The 24,516-nt window shown below is 37.1% G+C and overlaps 1 protein-coding gene and 1 pseudogene across 4 annotated transcripts in view; both read right to left on the bottom strand.

Annotated features, from left to right (window-relative positions):
• Nucleotides 1-24,516, bottom strand: part of CDK14 (cyclin dependent kinase 14) — a 614,270-nt gene that overhangs the window by 87,863 nt on the left and 501,891 nt on the right. For all 4 annotated transcript variants that reach the window (NM_001287135.2, NM_012395.3, NM_001287136.1 and 1 more), the window contains 2 exons: nucleotides 10,047-10,186; nucleotides 4,520-4,663 (listed from right to left, as the gene is read on the bottom strand). In NM_001287135.2, coding sequence (NP_001274064.1) covers nucleotides 4,548-4,663; nucleotides 10,047-10,186 — 256 coding nt within the window. In that variant the 3' untranslated portion in view covers nucleotides 4,520-4,547. The remainder of the gene's footprint in view (nucleotides 1-4,519; nucleotides 4,664-10,046; nucleotides 10,187-24,516) is intronic.
• PTP4A1P3 (PTP4A1 pseudogene 3) lies at nucleotides 14,940-15,337 on the bottom strand (annotated as a pseudogene).

Below are 24,516 nucleotides of genomic sequence, written 5' to 3'. Positions count from 1 at the left end.
AGAGGGACAAAGAGAAATGATAATAAGCAGAATCCATGAATAAGCAGAAACAAGTCAGCAGAAGCCCTGAAGTGAAGGGAACATGAAAGCTGTGTTAGTTGATGCAAAGACAGAAAAAGTGAGCCGCCATAATGTCACAGCATGGAGGAGAGCAATAGGTGGCTGTTCTTTAGGAGCAGTTTCCAGAGTTGAGATGGCGGTTGAGATGGCAAACAGCTCTAGGTGGCCTACCGAGTAAGAACCACCATTCTACTAACGTTCAGACAGTGCTGCCACAGTCTTAAGCACCAGTGCATTGTGTTCTGTCTAAAAGCAGGTTTCTAAAAAAATCTTTATCTCATTTAATTAAATTTCATTGAGCATTCTACTCTGTTTACCTAACAGCCTACTTACAGGAAATTACTGCTTAATGACCAAGTAGAGAGTCCGACACATTTTTTTTTCATTATCATGTAATTCCTACATAATGTGGATTTGCAGAAATAAGAGGCTAAAAGGTAAGGAGAGGGTCACCAAAACATGCATGCAGTTAACTTCTTGCAATTGAACCAAATAAAATTCTTTCATGCACTAGACAAACATTTGTAAATTTATTAGGAATGGGGTCTGTGAACCAACTGATTCATTGAAAAGAGATATTCCATAATGAGCACATACTATTTCAGAAAAATTACAAAACATATCTAAAAGAATAGAGACCTTTCTTATCCCTTATATTTAGCTAAAGGAGAAGTAGAGTGACCATGCACTTTCTATGCCAGTTTAGAGTAAGTGGAAAATTAAGCTCACCAGAGGGATGTGTTTGGTATCACTGCATGCAAAAATAAGTCATACTAATGGATGTGGTATTCAATACAGCTTCCAGTCTTTTCCTTGGGGAAAATTTCTATGTATATTTAAGGCTCTCTCAGACTTTAGAAGGGTCTTACCCATCAGTGCTGATAAAATGAGTTAGAAGAATCTATGAAATCTTTACTAATATCTTTAGAAGATAACAAAATGTAAGAAGCACAGTATTTTGATAATCCAGTGGCACCTATCCCATTTTTAACTTAGGTATTTATGGTTTTCTTCTTATTTAATTTGGTTACAAGACTCTGAAACCAAAATTGCTTTCTGCTGCAAAGCCAAATGCATCTCATTAGATTTTCCACTAAGACCAATTTATGCAAATCTGGCATTATTAACTAAATAATTGAAGTGACCTTGGTATGCAAGGAAAGAAATAATTTGGCATTGAGGTTTGGAAGAAAAATTAGGACTTGAAACATTCTTGTCTACTCAGTCCTCTACCATTTCAAAGACAGAAGTAATATAATGCATTTTCCACATTTACCTCCTTGTAACTCCCCAAAGAGAGATGGTTAAAATGCCGGCCGGCCCAGTTTTAGTCTCCTTCAGCCCCCAACCCCCTTGGCCTCCCTCTCCTTCCCAATCTCTCTAGGCATTACAAAGAATTGGGACATTTGAGGAAATTTAATATGCCAAAGCCTTCTCTAAACAGTCAATGAATTCAACAGCAACGCAAAATCAAAGTCTAAGAAATTACAGATTTTTCTCTAAGGATACCTTATCTACATAGACATTTTGCTCTATAATGTCTATATGATATTCAGTATTGGTCAGAGAAAGGCCATTCCACAAGATATAATAGGCCAATAAATAGGCTATATTATTTGATCTCGAAGATGGTCCCATTTATTTAAAAACTCCACAAAGGTGAGACATTAAAATAATTTCTTTTTCTGCTGACTGACAGAAAACTCTTAGAATCCATCTTCCCTGTAGCTTTTCTGAGAAATTGGGTTGTTTCCTCAGCATTATATTGAATCATGCTGAGGCATTTGGATGGGAAGAAAACTACACCAACAATAATATTAAAGCTTTATTGGGCCAGGCGCGGTGACTCACGCCTGTAATCCTAGCACTTTGGGAGGCCAAGGTGGGTGGATCAACTGAGGTCAGGAGTTCGAGACCAGCCTGGCCAACATGGCAAAACCCCGTCTCTACTAAAAATACAAAAACTAGCCAGGCGTGGTGGTATGTGCCTGTAATCCCAGCTACTTGGGAGGCTGAGGCAGGAGAATTGCTTGAACCCAGGCGGGGGCAGAGGTTGCAGAGAGCCAAGATTATGCCACTTCACTCTAGCCTGGGCAAAAGAGTGAAACTCCATCTCAAAAAAAAAAAAAAAGCTTTACAAGTTGATGTGAAAAAGGCAAACGTCATAGAAAAAATATTTGTATTGCTATCAAATAATTCTAGAGGAAAAGCTTCTACTGTGTTATAACCTGACATCTAGTTTAAAAAATATATGTGAAGAAAATACATTTTTACATTTTTGTAAAGGCTTTTATATACTGATGACTGTAGTTCTGAGCACCTTTTAAAAAAATCTCTTTTCAATTAGCAACCTTTGAGACTTTCTGAGCAACCCTTCTGTCCTGTGAGCTTGATTTGATTTCCCAAAGAGGAGCTGAGCTGAAACACGTTCTAGCAGCTTTGACTGGCTGGGCTCAGGTCAGGGGATCTCAAAAGAGCCAAGAAGAGGAACACAGCCTTGCAATTGAAATTCAGGCTTGCTTGTGTGCATGTGTGTATGAGGTAGCAGCACAAATAAAGTCCACTTTTTGTTTTGTTCCACTGAATTGGTGAAGGGATTTATAAAGCCAGGGCCCTCATTATGATAATGCAGGTTAAATACTTTAAAAAAGCATATGCTGTAACCCTCATGAATTAAAACCATTCTCAATACCAGGAGGTAGCTTGTCAAAAACCTAGCCCCACTCTTTGTCTGACCAATTGAAATTCAGAGTGGGAGTACAAATGCAACCGAGAGTTGTGCTTTTTATTCAACAGGGAGAAATAACATGAAGAATGAAGACTCTTACCTATGGAGTGGCAAGTTTAACAGTAACATCTTCTGACTGTCATTTATACATCATACTTTATCTGGAGATCTTTTATCTCCAAATCATTCATAACTTTCCACCATGCCCCTGATAGGCCAAAATTGACCCCTATGTTGAGGGTATTCAAAAGCTAAGTCCAGAAGTAGCTCAAGATACTGGCAGATTACCCACAAGACAATGTGTACAGTTTAAAATTTGCTCTCTTTACCATGCTATCAATTTAGCCTGTTAACATATTTCAAACTAAGAGAGGGAGGAAGGAAGAGGAACTACTGCAATGCTGCATATATCCTTTGAGTTACTTGAACACTTTTTATTTTATTTATTTACTTTTTGAGACAGGGTCTGGCTCTGTCACTCAGGCTGGAGTGCAGTGGTGCAATCTCAGCTCACTGCAACCTCAGCCTCCCAGGCTCAAGCCATCCTCCCACCTCAGCCTCCCAAGTAGCTGGGACTATAGGCACATGCCACCACCACGCCCAGGTAATTTTTGTATTTTTTGTAGAGATACGCTTTCACCATGTTGTCCAGGCTGTTCTCGAACTCCTGAGCTCAAGCAATCTGCCTGCCTCGGCCTCCCAAAGTGCTGGGATTACAGGTATGTGCCACCATGTCTGGCCTGAACACTTAATTACTGAATATCAGAACAAAGACACACTTTTCTCTACAAATCAGCACATAAAAAGCCTTCTCCACAGTAACATTTGTTCTCTATTTGTTTCAGAGACTTGTGTTACATTAAGAATGTATATGTATATATATGTATGTATGTATATATATATACACACACACACTAAAAATTTTCCAAAAATACTAGGCATTTCCATCTGGCAATCAAGAAAGATGGCCTTTTCAGAAGTTGCCATCCCAGGCTGGTCACTACGTAGCACACGTGATGTGATGACTGGGCCAGGCTGACATGGCTAGAGGTTGCCAAGTTTAGATTATGCTTCCTATCTGCACAATAGTAGAGGACAAAGAATTTGATAGTGAAAGAGAAAAGCTTCATCATGATAAGGTCCGTACCAGGAGCCAGACAGGAATCAGAAATAGGTGAAGTGGCCCAGATGGGAGCTAAACTAAACTGGGGAGTCTACATCCCCTCCAAAGGAGGCAGCAATGATTCAGTTACACGCAAACACTTCTGGTAGGAATGTGAAGGCAATATTGCTAGAGTTGCTTATTTTTCAAGGAAAACCAGAAATCTAGATTTTGTGTGTAATCTCCCCATTTTAAAATGAGAACAACTAATTAGAAAAATTGCATGGGCAAAACAAAGTAGGTCTGTGGCTTAGATACAGCCCAAAGTGAACCTTTTTCTAATCTCCATGAGGAATGTGAGTAGTTAAGATGACTTGCTTATAACTAAAATGGTTTGCCTATGACTACATAAATAAAAGCATAAGTATAATTTTAGTTAGAATCTAGTAGGTGCCTGAAAATATGGAAATGACTGAGTGCATTCTATCTCAATAGGTCTGATGAATGCCATAATGCACACAAGAGACTCATAGGATAGTTGGTGAAAAAACGAGTCTGAAATATTTCACTTAAAGAATCCGTTCAATATCCATTAAATATTACTTTCCAGGTAAAGCAGGTCCTCTTACCTGTGTGCTCTTGAGAATGTGCTGCTTGTCAGTGCTTGCTGTTTGATAGACTTTTGCCATAACTATTGTTTTTCCCAAAGGCCCGCATGCTTTCTCCAGCTTCTGGTTGCAATCTCACATTTGGGACAGTAAAAATAGAAGACACTGTGGACAGAATATGAAGTTTTCATTTATATAGTTATAGATATTTATAATCATGTTTTTTTTTTAAAAAAATGGAGACTGAGATGCAAGTTTGGATGCCCAGCACACTGAACATCATGGTATGTTTTGATCTTTGAAATGCCAGGTGGTCGCAGGCACACACACATTTGCAAACATATGATAGGATGGTCTGTCTTTCCCTCAGAACCACAGCTCAGACTATCTCCCACATTTCTCTGATCTAGAACAATGAACTTAGATTGGGAAACAACATATTTTGCCCTTCCTTTGTGCCATTCTCTCATTCATTGGAAAAATATTTATTGAGCCTCACACTGTTCTGGGAATTTCAGAATCCTGTACTAAATAAATCAGAATGAAAGGAAATCCCTGTTGTTATAGAGTCCATTTGGGGGAGACAGGCAATAAGCAACCAAACAGATATAATATATTAAATAGTGGTAAATGTTATGAAGAAAAATAAAGCAGAGAAGAGAAACTGGAGGTTTTAGGGTGGAAGGAGGTCAGTGAAGTCTCTCCTGAGAAGGGACATTGGTGGAGAGAATCAAATGAGGTAAGAGGGCAAACCATGCGTATGTCTAGAGGGAGAGCAAGCACAAAATATAAGAAGAAGAAACAGTGAGAGCTGACTTTAAGGAGGCAAGAAGAGAAGCAGGCAAACCAGGTAGGAGGCAACTGTAAAAATGTGGGTGAAAGATGGTGAGTGACTGAGGGCAGCGTGATAGCAGTGAAGTGAGGAGTGGCGTGCGTGATCCTGGATATACTGTGAAGGTAGCAACAATACGGTCTGTGGAAGAACTGAATGTGGAGTAGAACCAAAAAAAGATGATTAGGGATACCTTCCATCAACTGGAAGAATGATGCTGCTATTTATTGACAACGGTAAGACTAGAGAAGGCGCAAGTTTGAGGGGAAAGATGAGTTCAGTTTTGGTAAGATTAAGTGTGAGAGGCCTACTAGATGGTCAAATGGAAATGTTGAGTGTCAGTTGGATATGCAAGTCAAGTCAGGGAAGACAGGACTGGAGATGGATATTTGAAAACTGCCAGTGTATAGATGATATTTAAATCATGAGATGGGATGAGATCATCTAGGCTCCAGGGAGTCCATGCAGATAGACAGATCTGAGGATTCAGCCCCAGGACACTCTAATGTGAAAGGTCTGGCAGATGAGGAGAAATCAGCAAAGGAGTGTGAACAGGAGACTTTAGTTTTCTAAACTAAAGGAAAGCAATGAGAGAATACTGTCCTGGAAACCAAGCGAAAGAAGTATTAGTAGGAGGAGATGGTTGTCAATTGTGTTGAATCTTCGATAGGCTGGGAAAAGACCAATGGATAGAGACTTCGAAAGCCAGGCGTTGTGGACACAAAAGCCTGGTTGTAAAGGATTCAAAACAGCATGAAAGTCTACGAACTGAAGGTAGCAAATCTTAAATCTGAAATGGGTGCACCTGTTTTATTTTTAAAAAGACAGCATAGAGCTACATTAAGAGCATTATGCTGTTCTAGGATGATATACAGAACATATACAGGAATATGTGGGAAAATCGACAAACTCTAGAGCTAGAAAGGTCCCTGGAGACTACTGTGCCCACCTCACTTGCTCCTTAAGTGAGAAATGGGAAGCTCAGAGAGACCAAGGCACTTGTCCAAAGTTCCCTGGCTAGTTAACAGTGGAGCTGAAGCTGCAATCCAGGTGGTCTGATTCCCAGTTCAGTGCTCTTCACACTGTACCGATTTGTTGGCCTTCTTTCACTGAATTTGAGTTTTGTGAATTAGCAAATGAGTGTAATAAAATCAAGGACTCTGTGCTATGAAGTGTATTTTGTTCATTTACTTTGACAAGGGTAGTTCAGCTTCAATTATTTATGTAACTTGATAGTATATGCAGGAGAATGCCCTGTGGTGTATTTGGGAAAAGTAATGAATTTCTTCTAAATCAGCCCTCCATTTACTTCCCTGCAATTAAATCTTTGAGAAGAAGTGGGACAAAGCTGTTGGGGTTTCAGGACAGAGGGAGAATGACAGGGTGCCACCAGAATTAGCCAGCTTTAACAGCCAGATCCCCAGATAACTGTACCATTATTCTTGCTTTCTGCTTTTATAATTCCTGCTTCAGTGCCACACTAATACATTACCTCTAAATTTTGGTACTATGTAACCTGATGAGGTTTTAAGGAATAGTATACTAAAGAAAGATATTACATTACTATGTATTCTTCCAAAGCCAGAGTCTGACATAAGCCCGTAATTTCACTTTTGTACGAATCTATGAAATGACTGCAGGGCTCTGTGTTACTCAGGCTCCAACCACACTTGATGCCCTTCTCATGGGGTCTGACATATTACACTAGGCCAAGAAGGCTCAAATCTACTTGTAACTTATTTTTGTTCCCATCTTCTCCTTTTAACCTGACTTTGCTTCCTGCTTGCATAAGTGTTTTCCTCTTGTGGAAATTCTTTAGAAAGTGCTATGAGCCATCTTTAAGAATGAGAGTGCTATGGATTGAATTGTGTCCGTCCTCAAATTCATCTGTTGAAGCCCTAACCCCTAATGTGATGGCATTTGGAGATGGGGCCTTAGGAGGGTAATTAGGGTTAGATGAACTCATAAGGGAGGGGCCCTCATGATGAGATTAATGGCTTTGTGAGAAGAGGAAGAGATTGCTCTCTCCACCCTGTGAAGACACAGCAAGGTGCCCTTCACAAACTGAGAAGAAAGACCTTACCAGGAACCGAATCTGCTGGCACCTTTATCTTGGACCTCCCATCCCCAAGAGAAATAAATGTCTGCTGTTTAAGCCACCCAGTCTAAGGTATTTTGTTATTGCAGTGTGACCAAACTAAGACAGCGAGGTTCCTAAACTACAGCTTGGTTGCTAAGACAATCCATTTACTGGTTCTGTAACACTTCTTTCCAGGTGGATCTCCTTCCAAATCTCCTTAAAAAAGAAATACGTAAGGGTATTACAGGTGCTGCTGCTACTGCTGCCACTGCCACTGCTGCCTTTGCCAGATGGTGAACTTTTACAAGACTCTATGCTAATATGAAATTTAATTATAAAAATTTAAAAAACTTCTAAATATACTCTGCAGAATACTAACCTAGATAATAAGTCACCCAAACCAGTCATTTCACTTAAAGAAACCAATTCCCTAAGTCTCCAAAGTCTGGGAATTCTTTGTTTTGTAAACATGTTTACAAGTACAGCCACGTTGTTCTAAATGGAAATGACTATAGTATTTAATACTGGGATTGTCCTTTCTTGCAACTGGATTTATGCCTCATAATGATTATCTTCTAGACACAGAAATAGCATTTCTGTAACTCAAAATTGTTACCGGAGGCATTTAGTAGAATCTTGGTTTAAAAATATAATGATTTTTCATCTTTATTCTCCCCCCTTCAAAAGGTTTCACTGCTCCTGATGTTTAACGTTATGCAAAGACGTGTTTCTGCCAATGAATATCGCCTTACGGTTATGCTTCTGCAAATAGCCTGCTGTGAGCTGATAAAGGGATTAATGCAGCCAAAATTCTTAATCTGTAAAATTACAAATTAAATTCTCATATTAAAAATACCACCCTGAGGTATTTTTTGTGGTTTTAATTCCCCTCTGGTGTTCTGCATACTTTGTGCTTGTTAATGACGGGGACAAGGCTGTCTCCCTTGGCAGTCTGCTGCCGAGTGATAATGTGTAGGCATTTACTCACTGATAGAAACTGGATTTAACCACTGGCTGATAAACTAAGTGGCAAGTGGGTAATAAGTCCATATTAACAGAAAAGTACTACTACAGAATTCAGAATTCATAGACCATCAAAATCCTGGCTTAAACTCAATCTTCAAGTCAGATGGGATTGAGATGTCACCAAGGAGGAGTGATACCAAGTTACAAGTTACACTAAATGGGAAAACAAACCATATGTTTGAGTGTGATGAGCCGTAAACTAGTGAGCCTATTTACAGCATTTTTGTTTTCAGTATAGGAAAATTATTTTCCCATAGGGATTTAATTTTTAATTTAAAAAAAATTGAGGATAGCTGTTGTAATAGTCAGTGAGTAGACTTTAGAAAGGGCAGAGTGTTGAGTAAACATGGGCTGGAAATACGTGAAATGTTAAGGAGGATTTGCTAAGCATTAAGGGGAGTAGTAGATTAATATATCTATAGTGACTTTAGGGTTAAAAAAAAGTAATGAGAAATAAATGTGGGATATCAAAAAAAGATTTAGGATAGAAATACCCAAGAGGAGTTGCACTTAGAACTTAGTTCCAAAATAAAGGGTTATTGCCATCAAGGAGAATCCAATATTATGATGGATGAAAGAAGTCTAAAATCCAAGATAATGAAGAAATAATCATATGTCTACTGTAAGTGATGTATACCAAGGATTAATAAACACATTATAAATATTAATGTATATATGCAGTATGTTCATTTTTAAGGCAATCAGAAAAGAGTATAGAAGAAATATCTCTAATTGTTCTTTGGAAAGAACATATCACCATTGAACAAAAATATTCTGACGGCAATAGTTTTTACAAAATTTCACAAGAATTCTGTTTCACACTCTGGAAGAAATCTGAGATCCTCCCAGCCATAAATCCTCCCCCAAATATTTAAAATGTAATTTTAAAAGGCTGTATAAATATGTAGACTTTTATAAAAACAAAACAAAACCCACCCAGGAATGTGTTTTAAAAGATTCAGAGAAGAGCTGTCTGTACAAATACCAAGAGCATTTGCAGTTAAAATGAATTACATGTCTTCAGTCTGTACATGTCAATTCAGTGCATTAGCCAATTGCCAACTCTGCTCCTCAGCTCGCTGCATAGCAGCCCTTTTTAAGGTTATTGTTACAACCAAGATGGTCTCTGAGAATCAAACAGAAATGAATCATCGGCTCCTCTGTGTACTGCAGCCAGTTAAAAAGTACTGTATGCATAAAGCACTAAATATGTAAATCATATTTTCCTTTTCCTTTATGACTGTTCAGATCATTTTTTTGGACACACACATAATCAAATACAAAGATGCACAGCTGCAGACTGCAGAGCAGAGATAGCAAAAAAGGAATCCATTTTCTTCCTGTGTCTGGTAAGCTAGCAAATGAATGGCAGGATTCCACTAAATATATATACACATGGCCCCCCTTCCCCTGTTCTCTCTCTCTCTCTCTCTCTCTCCACACATACACACACACACACACACACACACCTGTAATGCACATACAAACATACATTATCTTATGTTTGTGGACACACAAATATGTGAATCTCTGCATACACGTTACATACAGATGCCAAAATAAAATGATGTGTCTGCTTGGACTGGATGTTGTGGATTTGTCATACTCACTGTCGGTGAGTTCCCATAGCCGTGGCGGCAGGTCACTAAAATACTCGTGGCTCAAGGCAGCCTGTGCCGACAGTCTGTTCTTTGGGGAACATTGTAGGAGCTTGGAGGCCAGGTCCTCTGCATGGTTCACATAGCTGAGCCTAAAAACATGAGCAAAAAAGAGAGGTCAGACCAAACAAGAAAATCCACTAAATAAGACATAAAGCTTACCTAATTTTTCTGGATTTCAATTTATTCCTGGCTAGAAAAACAAATTACCTGCTGAAATAAACAGAAGCAAAATGCATGTTGGTTCTCAGAGTATTTGTTACTTCAAACTTACTTTTACTCTAGGTATAACAGTATAATTGATTTAAAATATTTCTACTATAGGCAAAGGATTGATACTTTCCGAAAAGATAAAACTAGGTCCAGAGGTAGAAAATTTCAGAAGACAACATATCAAATAATTATTAGAATTTGTTAATAGAATCTATGTACTATACCCACATCTGGATATATTTATAGAAAATTAATAACAAATACTAAAGAATTAAAATAAAACTGCTATTAAATTCTCCAGTTACTAAAGTTTCTTTTCCTCTAAGAATTTATATTTTCTTGCATTGAATATGAATTAACATTACTGAAACAGTGCCCTGTCAAATATCAACTATCATAATATTAATAAACAGGTTAGCAAAGGGGATGTGCTTAGATGATACGGGGCTGAATCAATTCAAGATGACCTTTAAAACAACAGTAGATAGAAAATATGTGTCTCAAGATTACAGAAAAAGGCGTAATAATAAAGTCTTTCATGTGGTATAAGCTTTCAAATGGGTAGCAGCACTTCTCAGTCCAGCTCAGCCTTGCTTTTCATGGAACCTCTATTTCTCTACTCAGAGCAATCAAGCCTGGATAATTAATATAATAATGATAATAAAAGTATTCCTAATAATGGCTAGCATTTCTGGATAGTTGAACATGCGTCAGGCACTTTCCTAGGCACTTTTAACACTCGTATTTATTATAGTCTGAGAAGGTAACAATTGCTATTTTGTAGTGGTGGAAGCCAAGTAGGAGTCAGAGATGGCAGTGGATCACTTGGGTAGCAAGTTGAGAGGAGATTCCAATCCATCCAGAACTTCTTGACTCTAAAGTGGTTTGCATATGCCATGCTCTCTTTCTCTCACAGGTTATTTTAAAGGCATTTCCCAATGGATTCTCCAGTTTCTGAAACCCGGTGCAATATATACAGTGACTCTCAGAGGCAGCCAGAAGTGGGTGAGGGAGAGCTGCACCTTCCAGTAGGTATTTCTTTAAAAATCCTTGAAGCTACTCAAGACACAATTAGCCAACAAACATATTTCCTCAATGACCAACAATCTCCTCCTTCCCCTCCTCAACCAATTCTTTAGTATTTATTTCAAATTGTTGGGGATGGGGGTATGAAGAGAAGATGAGGTAATGGATTTGGGTAGAGAAGGAAAAAGGGGAAAAGCAAAGAAAAATATTACACAAAGATCCAAACTAAGAGACTTTCTCTCTACATCTTGTTATGTGAAGGCCTCACAAATGGGTTCAATGTGTGGCTGCTGCAATGGCTGTTCACGAAAAAAATGGATCAATGGATTGGTTTTAACTGTCTCTCCCTGGAAGAGAGAAATTTGTCCACAGGGAACGAAAGCATTCTCAAAATTCTTCACAGTTTTTTCCCCTTTAAGAGGGCACAGGGCCATTCATATTATTCCTTCCTCTTCCCAAGACTTTATCACTAGTACAACTTTTCATTCATATTTTTAAAAAATCAAACGCAAAGTTTGAGATAGGCTTCATGGTTAAAAGTTATATTGAATGTACAGTTCATAGTTAATTATGGTGAACAGTATGTTCATATCAATTTTATATAGTTTTGATAAAATAGAACAACCAGATTAGGACTAGATCTGAGTTTCAGGCTTAATACTGCTATCATTTTCCTAAATTCAGACAAATAACTATTATTAAAAGAAAAAAAGGAATATTATTAATCGCCCAAACTGTATGTTGTTACATTGCATGTAAATACAAGAAGAGAAAGGTGATTGCGATAGTTGGTGCACAAGTACTTAACTCAGAAGTCAAGAGTATAAAAAACATGAAATACAAAGCAAGACATACTATTTTTGATCTTGGTTTTCTCATCTATTGAAAAATAGTGATGAACCACATTATGTCTGCAGTCCCTCCAGTTCCAAGAAGCCATGAATCACATCTGAAGCATGGTTTCATTATCTCGAAGAATTATAAACACTTATAGTTGTATCTCTGTTTCTGCAGTAAATTGTTGACTATATTTAAATACAGTATATGCCTCATATAAGGAATTCATCAATATAAGATAGTCCCATTCCCCACTAAATTGACTACACTTTAATATGCCAATAATCATATTTTCATTTGTGATATTTAGTTAATACATATTTGTTATATAAAATTTTAGTTTAGAAATTTCATTTTAAGTCTCTACATGCATTTTCAACATCAGAGCCTTTGTCATCACTAGAACCTCTTTTTTCGGTCTACCTAAGTTGTTAAGACATGATACTTTTGGGAATCCATGTATGATATCTTAATTGGAAGTTTTATCTGAAGTCATACGTGTACATTATCAGATTGTTAGAATGGTGGTGGTGGTTCTCAATCTCCCATTGTGATGGGAGACTTTTTTCAATCTTTCCTTGGAATTCCATCAATTTTTGTTTTATATTATAAGGCTGGGTAATTAAATGCATAGCAGTCTAGCACTATTATCTCTTCTTGGTAAATTCAGTCTTTAATCCTTATGTCATGACACTCTTTATCTTTCATAAAGCTTTCTAGGCTAAAGTTCATTTTATTCTCACATTAATACAATATAATGACCTCAGCTTCTTTTGTTTAGTATTTGCCTGCCATACCTTTTGTTACCTGCTTATTTTTAATGTTTCATACATGTAATATTAGGGTGTCTCTTTCATAAATATTATTCAGCTAAGTTTAATTTTTATCCAATTAAATAATCCTCATCTCTCAAGGAGAAAGTTTAGTCCATTTACATTTTGTGATTATTGATATATTTGGAATTACTGCTACCAGATTAATTCTGCATCCTATTTTGTCCGCCTTTACCTTTTTTCTCTTTACCTGTCTTCTTTTGGATTGGGTTTATTTTAGATAGAACTATTTTAGAAGTATAACTTCTAGAAGTTATGCATTCTATTTCCATGTAATTGGTAATTCCTCTTAATTTTTCGTCTTCTTTTTTGCATTCATCATCAATTTAGGTGTTTAAGCTTTCACAAGTTTTTGGAAGCTGGTGAACGCTGACAAATTATTTGTCCCACAAAACTGGAAACACACAGTCCAGACAGTGTAAGTATATGGTTGAATGGACATCAATATACATTACCATTTCACTGATTGTATAATAAAACAATTAAGTATGCAAATATTAAGTTACACAGAGCAACAGGCTTAAAAAATATTACATTTCTGCTCAATTCACTACCAGAAGTTAACTTCTCTTTTTGCAAGAGAGGTTGGGAAGAGATAGACAACAATCACATTTCAAACAATAACAGCTGGTAAACAACTTCCAATAGATATGGGAAAAAATTACAAGATTTTCAAAAATTTTATTATTAACAATTATTTCAGCTACCATCATAAGGCATGTCTACCTTAAAAAATATTTACTAAAGAGCATATGTCCTAAACAACACAAACACATTTTGCTAAAACTACTTTATAGCTCTCCCACTCCTCCTTCAGATCTTCTCTTTTAAGTTGCACCTCAAATGCAGACATTAAATTAACTTTAAGACTTTTTTGGTCTGGAGACAGACATTAAAAATATGTGCTTCTGTGCAATGTGGACTTTGCATGAACTTTTCAACCAGAGGTTTGTGATTTTCAAAATGGAGGTTTTCATAATAGCACGAAATGAGATTTATAAAAAGACATTAAGAAATCATCATTAAACTTGGATGAAAGCCAACAAAATCAATGGGTACACAAATCTGACGTACACTGTTTTAAATGTGGCAGTTATAAACATATAGTGGCAGGCAAATAGCCATACAGGCACCACTATTAATGTTTGAAATGACTGAAGGAATAAATCACAGAAGGCATAGACTGTTCACAGTTCTTAGGTTTTAAATTCTGTAGGACATTAAAAACATACAAGTATTATGCTGGGTATTTTGGCACCCAATATCTCTATATTCCTTATATATTGATAAGATTCAAGAATGTGAATAGACTTCAAGAACACATAACTCAATACTGCATGATTTCAGGAAAGGTCAACTCAAACGAATGGTAAACATGCTTTAAGTGTTGAACAACAAGCTTCTCTTTTTTCTTTTTTGAGACAGAGTCTCACTCTGCTGCCCAGGCTGGAGTGCAGTGGTATGACCTTGGCTCACTGCAACCTCTGTCTCCCAGGTTCAAGCGATTCTCACGCCTCAGCCTGAGAGTGGCTGAGAGTACAGGCTTGCGCCACCATGCCTGGCTAATTTTTGTATTTTTAGTAGAGACAGGGTTTCACCATGTTGGCCAGGTTGGTCTTGAACTCCTGACCTCAAGTGATCCGCCCGCTTCAGCCTCCTAAAGTACTGGGATTACAGGCGTGAGCCACTGCGCCTGGACAAACAAGCATCTTTTGCTGAGTGTTCAAACAAGCTGATCATAATCCAAATACAGAGGTTTCAATTCTGTCAAGCTCTTGAGGCCTGGTAAAAATGCTCACCAATACTCCTGCAGAAGCTTCATTAGACTTATCATTCGCTAAGCCTACACATTGGCTAATATGTTTGATAAACTGGGTCCTGTCTTAAAAGTTCCATTTCCAAAGCAATTGCATCAGGTAGCCCGGTTTTATTTACTGCAAGAGTTGTTTCTCTGACTGCTGGTGTCTAGGAAGTGCAGCTGCATTGTAGGACAATACTGCTCCAAAGAGAAAAACTGCTTGCTTCTAACATTTCCATTTCACTTTTGTCTTACGAACTTTACTGCATCTTCATATTTCATTCCACTTTAATGCTTGGACAACGAACACTAGAGCTCTCCCAAAACCAGCAACATGATGACAGTAATATTTAATACAACAACTAGCCTCTCCAAGAAACTTCATTTTACAAAACATAACCAGTCATCAACAGGCTTGGATAAATGGCAGTGTACCATTATTCAGAACCTGGATGCCTTCTTTCTCACAAGAGCAGTATTGTAAGTTGCTTCACATATTCTCACTACTGGGTAAGACCATACTTTTAAATTTCCTTTAACATTCATTTAAGGTCATACTGACTAGAATGTCCTGTGTGTGACTTCACATGACCTGACCTATTCATTTGAGTTATGTTAGTTAAAAAGCACTCAATAGGGTTATTTAAAAATGAAAACATTTTTTGAATAAAGCATACAGAAATGATGTAAAAAATAATGTAAAAATAACTGAAGTCTACTTCAATGTACCACACTTTATACTACACTTGAAATCTTCAGTGCTTTGGAGTATGAAGATGGCAGTAACAGGACGTGAAATGAACCTCCTGAAAAGCAAGACCAATTCTTTAATTCAGTAATGAGGCAACAGAAAGGAAGTTCCCTAGGTTTACCCATCTAGGTCAAAACTCTTGTAAAATGCTTTCCTGATTTTAATTTGATTCTCCTGTGTCCTAGTTAACCCCTCTCATGGAGCTGCTTGGTAGAATGGTAATGACTTTCTATAGTTCACCTGTTTGCACAGAAGTCATGCTGTATGCCTGATAATAATCTCCACTGCCCCTCAGAAACTTTGCAAATGCATGACCAAGAACACTACAGAACTGCCCAACCTGCAGCTAGCAGTGACCTCTCTTGGTGTAGGTTGGCTTAGTATCTTTTACCATCAAAGATATAAAAATAAATTTCCATACTTTACATCTTCACCCTCAGTTCTCCAAGTGGATGGCTCCTTAACTTTTTAATATTTAACTCTATTTAACTTAAAATTTAGAGTTCAATTTTATTTTTACTCTCGTGTACAAAAATATTGGAATACTTTAATTCTAATGACACAGTCTCATCTATCATATTATTGTCTAATATTTTATTTCTATTTTCTATGCTTTTTAAGGACACATATTAGACATTATTATTATTACTGTTACTGTTATTATTTTATTTACCCATGTTTACTAATTTATTTAATCACCTTTCTTCTCATGTTTCAGACATTCCCTCCCAGATTATTTTTTTGTGCCAGAAATACAAATGATAGCAGTTATTTCAATGAGCATCATTTGATGGTAAATTCTGTTTTGTTTTCATACAGGATAATGGGTTGGCTGGGTATATATTTAATAATTCTATATGCAGGCTCAAGGCATTTTCCCTTAACCCTCTGAAGACATTATTCCATAGGCTTCTGTTGTTTCTGCCTCTTTGTGCTCTTCTCTTCCTCTTCAGAGTTCTGCAATTGCAATGTTAGGTCTTCTTTTTATTTAACCTGCTTGGTACTCACTGTGTTTCCTGAATTTGAGGTTTCATGTTCTTCAACAATTCAAGAAAAAATCCCAGCCATTACCCCTCAAATATTATCTTTCCCCAATTCTATCTCTTCTCTCATTTTGTAATTTGGATGCAATGCGATCTCATTAAATTGTCCATGTCTTTACTCTTTCATGTTTTCCATCTGTTTGTCCCTGTTTTCCATTCTGGGCAATTACTTCAGAGCCATCGCTCAGTTCAATGAATTATTTAATCAATTGCATCTAATATGCTATTTTCCCTGTTCATTTTGATTTTATAAGGTCTTTTCAATTCTTTGACAAATTTGCCTATTCAGTTTTGATAGTCTCTTAAGTTTTTTATATGATCTTATTTCTTTACTACAACATTTTAAATATAGTTGTATGTCTGATAACTCCCAATACCTAAAATGCTGGGTGACAGGAGAGTTCAATTTTGTTGCTTTTGCTACTGATCCTCACTTGCAATAACTTTTTCCTCATATGCTTTATAATTTTTGGATTGTGAGCCCATGGTTGTCTAATGTTAATCTATGGGAAACCTGAGAGGCCTGGATTGAGAATGTGTTTCCCCATAAGGATTTTCTTTTGCTTCTGTCAAAAGGCCTGAGGCTCTCCCAATACATGGGTACTCCAAGTTCTTGCTGTTGGTTTCCAAGAGCATGCAAACTGTGTAAATTTAAGCCTGAATACGTAGAAATTCTCATATCAGACTTTTACATCCCCATCCATAGTGAAGGCTGGCACCAACAATTGTTCTTGTGGTCTTTCTTTGTTGGAAGCAGTTATTTCTGAGTCCATTACTGGGGCTGAATTACATTACTGAAGCCCACTAATGTGCTTTGAGGGTCCCCACTCTGTGTGGAGAATCTCAATTCCTATTCCCTACCTTCTTCAGGCCGAAGGCCTTGTTTCCTGATCCCCAAGTGGTTTCATGTTTCTATTTTAGAGAACAACTTCAGGGCAGCTGCAACTTTAGCATTTGATTATTCTTCTGGTTTCCTGTCTTTCTTCATTCTTGGCCTTTCTGGAGATTTTACTTATTTTCTTCTTGGTTCAGCTGCGCATCTGAAATCACGTGCTTGGTGTATTGTATCCAGCATTTTAGGTGACTTTTAGTACTAGGAGTAGTAGAAGAGATATTTTTTTCCCTATAGGCATATATTTATAATCCCTGTAATCTAATTAGTTACTATAAAATCATCTATGCTTATAATTTTTAAGTCTTTCTCCCTGGAATAATCACAAAATAATCACCTACACTTATAATTTTTAGGTCTTTCTCCCTGGTATTCTTTCATTGCCCCATCTCTCTCTTTTAAAACTAATTCTGTTAGGTCACCTCTGTTTAGTCTCAGAAACTAATTATCTGAAGTTGATTCAGGCTGACATTTTTTCACCACACAATGTCTAGATGAATCTCAAATGCATCATCCAAAGTGAAGAGGCAAGAGGCCTCTTATAGATATATAATTCCATTTATACAACATTCTGGAAAAGCCAAAATTATATAAACAGAAAACTGATCAGTGTTTGACATAGGCTGGAGGGAGGGTGAGAGAGGTTAGCAAAAGGGAACTGGACAATCTTTTTGGATGGTTCTACATTTTGATCAAGAAGGATGAACATTGGGCCATGTGAGAGGGCCAGGTCAGGGGGACTATAATAAAAATTCAGAAGATGGAGCCATTTAGAGAGATGGAAGACTGCAGATTTTTCACAAAGAACATTCAGGCATTAAGGATGGAAAGCTGCCCTCCTGTGAGTGGCTGAAATTAGAACTTCCTTGTCTTGAGGGGATTCCCAATTACGCCTCAAGGGATGCTCCAGCCTACCCAGAGATGCTGCTGCCAATGGTGAGGCCCTCCTATAGATTTCAGTGTTCTATCGCAGGTCACTGAGTGAGAATCTGCCTCAGGCTGATGGAACTGGGCCCATCAGGTTGGTGGGGGTGTACTCAATGAGCCTCTATGTTCACAAGGGGTCAGAAAAACCTGGAAGGGTATGTGGGACAAGAGACTGTTATGTTCATTCTACATTCATTTTGTAAAAAGATGTTTGTTGTTCATGGAAACTCTTTTAAAAAAAAACTAAGGAATTTTAAAATTATAAACCTGGATGACAAGACATAAACAATCCCTACTGAATTCAGAGTATGTGTGGTATGAGAATCTTATATTGCGAATAACTATGAAACAAGTGCTTTTAATACAGTTGAAAATAACAGTATGCTGCTCTTCTAATTATAAAGAATTTTCTGCATTTTTCTAGTCCTTATCCATGCAATACACACTCTCTCTCTCTCTCTCTCTCTCTTTCTCTCTCTCTCTCTCTCGGTCTCCTTGCAGTTTTTTAAAAAAATGTATGAAAGAAGGTAACATGAATAGTGAAAAACAGTCTTAGACCATGAATATAGAGCAGGATATTCTCCTTATTCCCTGTACAGGTTAGTTTTTATACCTCAGAAATGAGGAAGATGGAATAGATTGTCTTTAAGAGTTGTCCTAGCTCTAATGCTACATATCCTCCAATCTGGGAAGAACCAGATTGTGAACTAGAGGCAGGGAGAGTTAGCACAGCTGTACTGGCCTGCCAGGGCTGACCTACCAGAATTTCCTGCTCTGCCACCAATGAAAGGAACAAACAGTGCCTCTCACTTCTCTCCACTCAACCTTGAAACTAGCGCTTTTTCAAAATCTAACCTAAGTTTCTAAGACTTCCTGAAAACAGACAAAGAGCAAAGTAAACCTGGAGTCCTCTGCCAGACTAGAGAGTACCATCAAAGTTGAAAAGATGGAATGGAAAGTGGAGGACAAAAATGGTGGTGCAAAAAAGAAAAAGAGGAGGTCCACTGGTTGTGGCAAGACGAAGAGGGCTACTTCCTGGAAGACAGCATTTCTTTTTTTTTTTGACAGAGTATTGCTCTGCTGCCCAGGCTGGAGTGCAGTGGCATGGTCTCGGCTTGCTGCAGCCTCTGCCTACTGGGTTCCAGCGATTCTCCTGCCTCAGCCTCCTGGGTAGCTGGGATTACAGGTGCACACCACCAAGCCTGGCTAATTCTTACATTTTTAGTAGAGATCAGGTTTCACCATGTTGGCCAGACTGGTCTCGAACCCTGAACTCAGTTGATCCGCCCGCCTCAGCCTCCCAAAGTGCTGGGATTATAGGTGTGAACTATCGCACCCGGCCGGAAGGCAGCATTTCTAATACAATGTGGAGACACAACATCTGCTAAATGACTGAATGTTTGCTTGAGTAATGAGTATATCAATGGTTATATCTATAGAGGTTTCACATTACCTGAGAAATAAAAATTGAAGAAGTAGGCAGTCATTTTTGAGCAAAAACATCTTATGTTCAGGTCCTGGTCCTTAAAGAACCTCTTCAAACTATACATCCCCCGGAAGATGTCATTTTCTTTTTTTTTTTTCTGATTTGGTTTGGTTTTTGAAGTGGGAAGGAAGTTGATCCTTGCCTTTTTAAGGTTAACTTATAAACTAGGACTGCATGGATGTTTGTTTTGATTTAGGGTTTTTTTTTTTTACACTATAGTTCTAAAAGACTCCCTCTAAAACTGATGATACACCTGCTTGTATAACAACTAAGGCAAGCTACATTTTGTTCCCAAGGGTGGCTTCTAAATCTCTATAAAACTCTCCACTGGAATTTATTGTTTTAGCTCATGAAAACTGGATATAAAGAGTAAAGGTGTGGTAGGTGTAATTTACATATTAGACCATTCAATGGAGATACAAAATTCCATATAAAAAGCTTAAATGGGAAGAAAAAGTTCTAGAATGTTCCTCACTTACATTTTATATGGTGACGGGATACTATTACACTCACTATGGGCCTATGTCTGAAGCATAATAGTGTGCTTTCTTTTACAGAGTTGGAAGTACAACAACCAACCTGGAGTGAGTGATGCAGAGGGTCTATACTCATACTTTATGCACCGTCACACTCTTCACAGAGCAAAGCCACAGAGCCTGGATCCCTTCAATTGACAGTGCACATCTCTGTGGCAAGGATACCAATGCGGGTGCTGGCCACTGAATTAATCAACATCTGATCTCTTGAAAATGATCTGGATGATTTGTGAAGAAGTCCACCCACCAATAAAGACAAGTCTGTCTGTTTTCCTTAACTACTGAACAGAACTGTCAGATGCAGCAGTCTTCTTGTCTACACATCCAAAGCAAAATGCTCAAATGCTCATGTAACCCCCTCTTATCAAAGCTTTTTGTCTTAGAGGGAGTACTATGGTCATAACACTGCTTTTGTTTTTCAAAAAATGACTTACTTTTAGCAAACAGGCTTAAATTTATTCATTTTGCAAGGAGGGGTCAGAAATTGGTCAAGCAGAACATGAGTGAATCTGACATTGGAATAAACTCTTGGGGAAAATAAAGACTAACAGAAGAAAAGATTCAGCCCTGTGCAGTGTACTTCTCAACCCCAGGTGCTGGGCTGTGCAATGAAATGAGAAGCAAGACTCGTAGTTACATTAATAATGAAGACACAGAGTTGTTTAACACTGGGACTTCCTTTCTCACTGTACTCAATGTAAAAAAAATAATGAGATTCCTCCCCTCAAAACAAACTGATAACATTTTTATATTAGTTTCTGTAAATAGGCTGTAGTTTTAGTACATAAAAATACTCAATACTTATTCACTTATTCTAATGAAATTGTTTAATGCCACAATCTCCCTGGCAGACACTCATTCCCATAATGGTCAGCTCACTTGACAGCCAATGCTATATTAGAATAATGCTATTTGTAGGCAGCTCTACAGTTCACAAAATGCCTTCCCATGTATTATTTTATTTGATCCAGATGATCAAAGGGTCATGCTTACAAAATGGGGAGTATTCAGACTTCTGATACTTACATCTTAGTGTCCATTGCATGCCATGCCAAAGAGTTATTGCTAGCTGTACATTACTCAGTTGGTAAAGGGGTTATTAGATTATTCCTAAAGTTTTCCTTAAGAACACATTACATTTTTCCATATTTCTCTCTTTTCCTTTAATTTTGAACTATATTGCTATAGAGACTATTCTTTCTATATTCTTGTTAACACCTCCACTGTCCTATGCTAAATAAGGACAATGGGGAGAGTCCAGCCTTAACATGAACAAGATGAATAATCATACGAATCTACACTGCTAGGTCTCCCCATCAGATCTAACCCTTACTCAATACACAGCTGCCCTTGCAGTCAACTCTACCTGATGGAAAAGTACAGAAAGTGTTGAAGAGCCCTCAGCAGGATCTGAAATGAATCAAGTTTTTGAAAATGCTAGCACTGACATTCTAAGGCTATTCTAAACTGCCAAAAGTGGGCCAGAAAAATGAAAATATTAAATTCTTGCTTTGGATTTCAGAGCTTAGCTTGGTAGTAATTCCCCAGCCTTGATTTTATTTATTACTATTTTCTACCCTTCCTGGAAAAAGAGATGTCTTCAAATGTTTAAGATCATTCCAAAACCAAAGAAAGGGTGATCTGCTTTTTAAAAATCTGTTAACTTATGACATAATTATAGCAGCCTTTCCTGCGTACTAATATGATGCTATTTTCATATTTACCTTTCATAAATCCATTGATACAGACATTATCATAAAATATTCATAGACTAATATATATGAATTTGTTATATTCTTTTCAACAAGAGCCCTCGTTTATTTAAACTTATTTTCATTTAACTCCTACAAAAGTAGATCATGTTTCCGCTCTACTGTCTACAGGACAGAATAAGGTAACTGCTTCACTACATTGCTTTTGCAGAGCTTCCACTTTAATTCCTTTTGCAATCTTCCCCAGTGCCTACTGGCAGTGACTGTTTTCAGTGATGAAGTTTTATTTTTAATAATTTATACAGAACACTATAATCCATGTGCACTTAAACTATAATTCTACATGCATAAATAGCATAATTAAAAACTTCTCCTATGATTTATCAGAGATCACCAAACATTAATAGTATTTTTCATATATGGGGTAGTACAAACCTGTCAGTCATTATACTCGTATCTCAGTTATATTTTAGAAAAGATCCCTAGATTTAGTGAACCAGCGATTATATGATTTTATAATTTTTATTAAGTATTTTACTTCAACAAAGCAGTAAACAGCAAAAGAGGCACCAATAATTACTTTTCAACCCTCTGACTAGAAGACTTGATAGAAGAAAAATACATTTACAATAACTGACCTTTATAATCAGAATAAGGTTTGCAGAATACTTAAAAGTCTAACCTCACAAGTCAGCATAGAATATCCTCAAACCCAAAGACATGTATTCAACAGAATTGATTTCCAGCTTCCCAGTTATTTTATTTACAGTTATAGCCTATCTATAATAAGCACTAGACCTTCATAACCACACAAACCCACCCTGTATGAAATCCCATTGTTACCTGAAAGACATTAGGTAACTCACAACCTTTCCAACTTCTGGATACAGATTAGGATAAAGTTAATAGCCCTCTCCTACTTCACAGGACTGCTGTGAAGATTGACCTTTTCTTACCATAACTTGCTTAAATCGATTATAGGCATCTTATTATTTCACCGACTTCACAGGTTTTAAAATGTTTTTAGGAAATCAAGAGTGAAGCAAAGTAAATTGTTAGTGAATGTTATACTCCTGTGATGCTTTGAATATTTATACTATTTGGAGAATAAAGATTACCCAATTTTCCTGAATTCAAAGTGGTTGATTAAAGCACTGTTTCAACTGAAACAGACAACTCTCATTTTTTATGATAAAAGATTGAATGGGTGTTTAAACCCAAATCTTCATTTATCCAAAAATTCAGTCTATGTAAAAATTTAGGAATGGCTTATGTTTCAGAGAGATTGGTTATAAATATTTAGTCCAAATTATCCAAGCAGTATGAAAAACATTTTCACCATCAGAGGCTCTGGTAAAAAGTGTAACTTATTGGCGCATCTGCATTATGGTAAATGGAGTTAACAGAAATGGTGGCTACCTAGCCTTTCATTCTTCTGAAACCCTAGAGAAGTTACAAATCTCATCATCAGAGGAAGGTTTTGGAACAGTATGTCCTTCAACTATAAGTAGCACTAAAAATAGCTCTTGAAAGGCATAATTTTGTATAATATTATTTCATGAAAAGAGAAGAAAAAATATATCTTTAATCCTGAACAAACCTCTTCAAAGTTTATGTTCTCAATAAACCTTTCACTGAGAACTGAAAGTATAACTTAGTAATGCAATAAATGCCCTAAAAATATATCAGATTTTTCACTTAATGCTTTTTACAGGCTTAAACCAACTGGAGTAAAAGGAAATCACCTTTTACAGTCTGACTCCTACAGGAAGAATGCCTTGCTGTCACGCTTTTTAAAGAAGGCATGGTGAATTTATCTCAACTTTGGTGAATCTTGGGCCATGATAAAAAGAAGAAAAATAGCAGAGCAGTTAACATTCCACAGAACTCTTTCTTCACATGTTTATTTCCTTACAGATTGGACATGATCCAAGATAATAAGAAAAGTGTAAAAAGGAACTTTTCTTAAAGGCAATATATAGTTTAGCACTCTATGTTGATATAGAAGAGATGTTTCCTCATCTCTTTTTGCCTTTATTTCTTTTTTTTTTTCTCTTTCTTTCTTTTTCTTTCTTTTTTTATTTTAAGTTCTAGGGTACATGTGCACAACATGCAGGTTTGTTACATATGTATACATGTGCCATGTTGGTGTGCTGCGCCCCTTAACTCATCATTTACATTAGGCATATCTCCTAATGCTATCCCTAAAAAATTATCTTGTAGACTAAACGTATTAAATGGTTAGGACTGCAGAAAATCACCAAAAATAATGCTCCCATTTATATCAAAATGAGAGAATATTCAGTTAGGTCGGAGGTCATGGGTTATTAAAGTTTAGTTCAAAGCAAATGAAAAATCTATTTGCTGG

Source organism: Homo sapiens, chromosome 7, assembly GCF_000001405.40.
Source record: "Homo sapiens chromosome 7, GRCh38.p14 Primary Assembly".
NCBI classification, from domain to species: domain Eukaryota; kingdom Metazoa; phylum Chordata; class Mammalia; order Primates; family Hominidae; genus Homo; species Homo sapiens.
The sequence above is the reverse complement of the archived record's forward strand: the minus strand, read 5'-3'. Positions and strand labels throughout refer to the sequence as shown.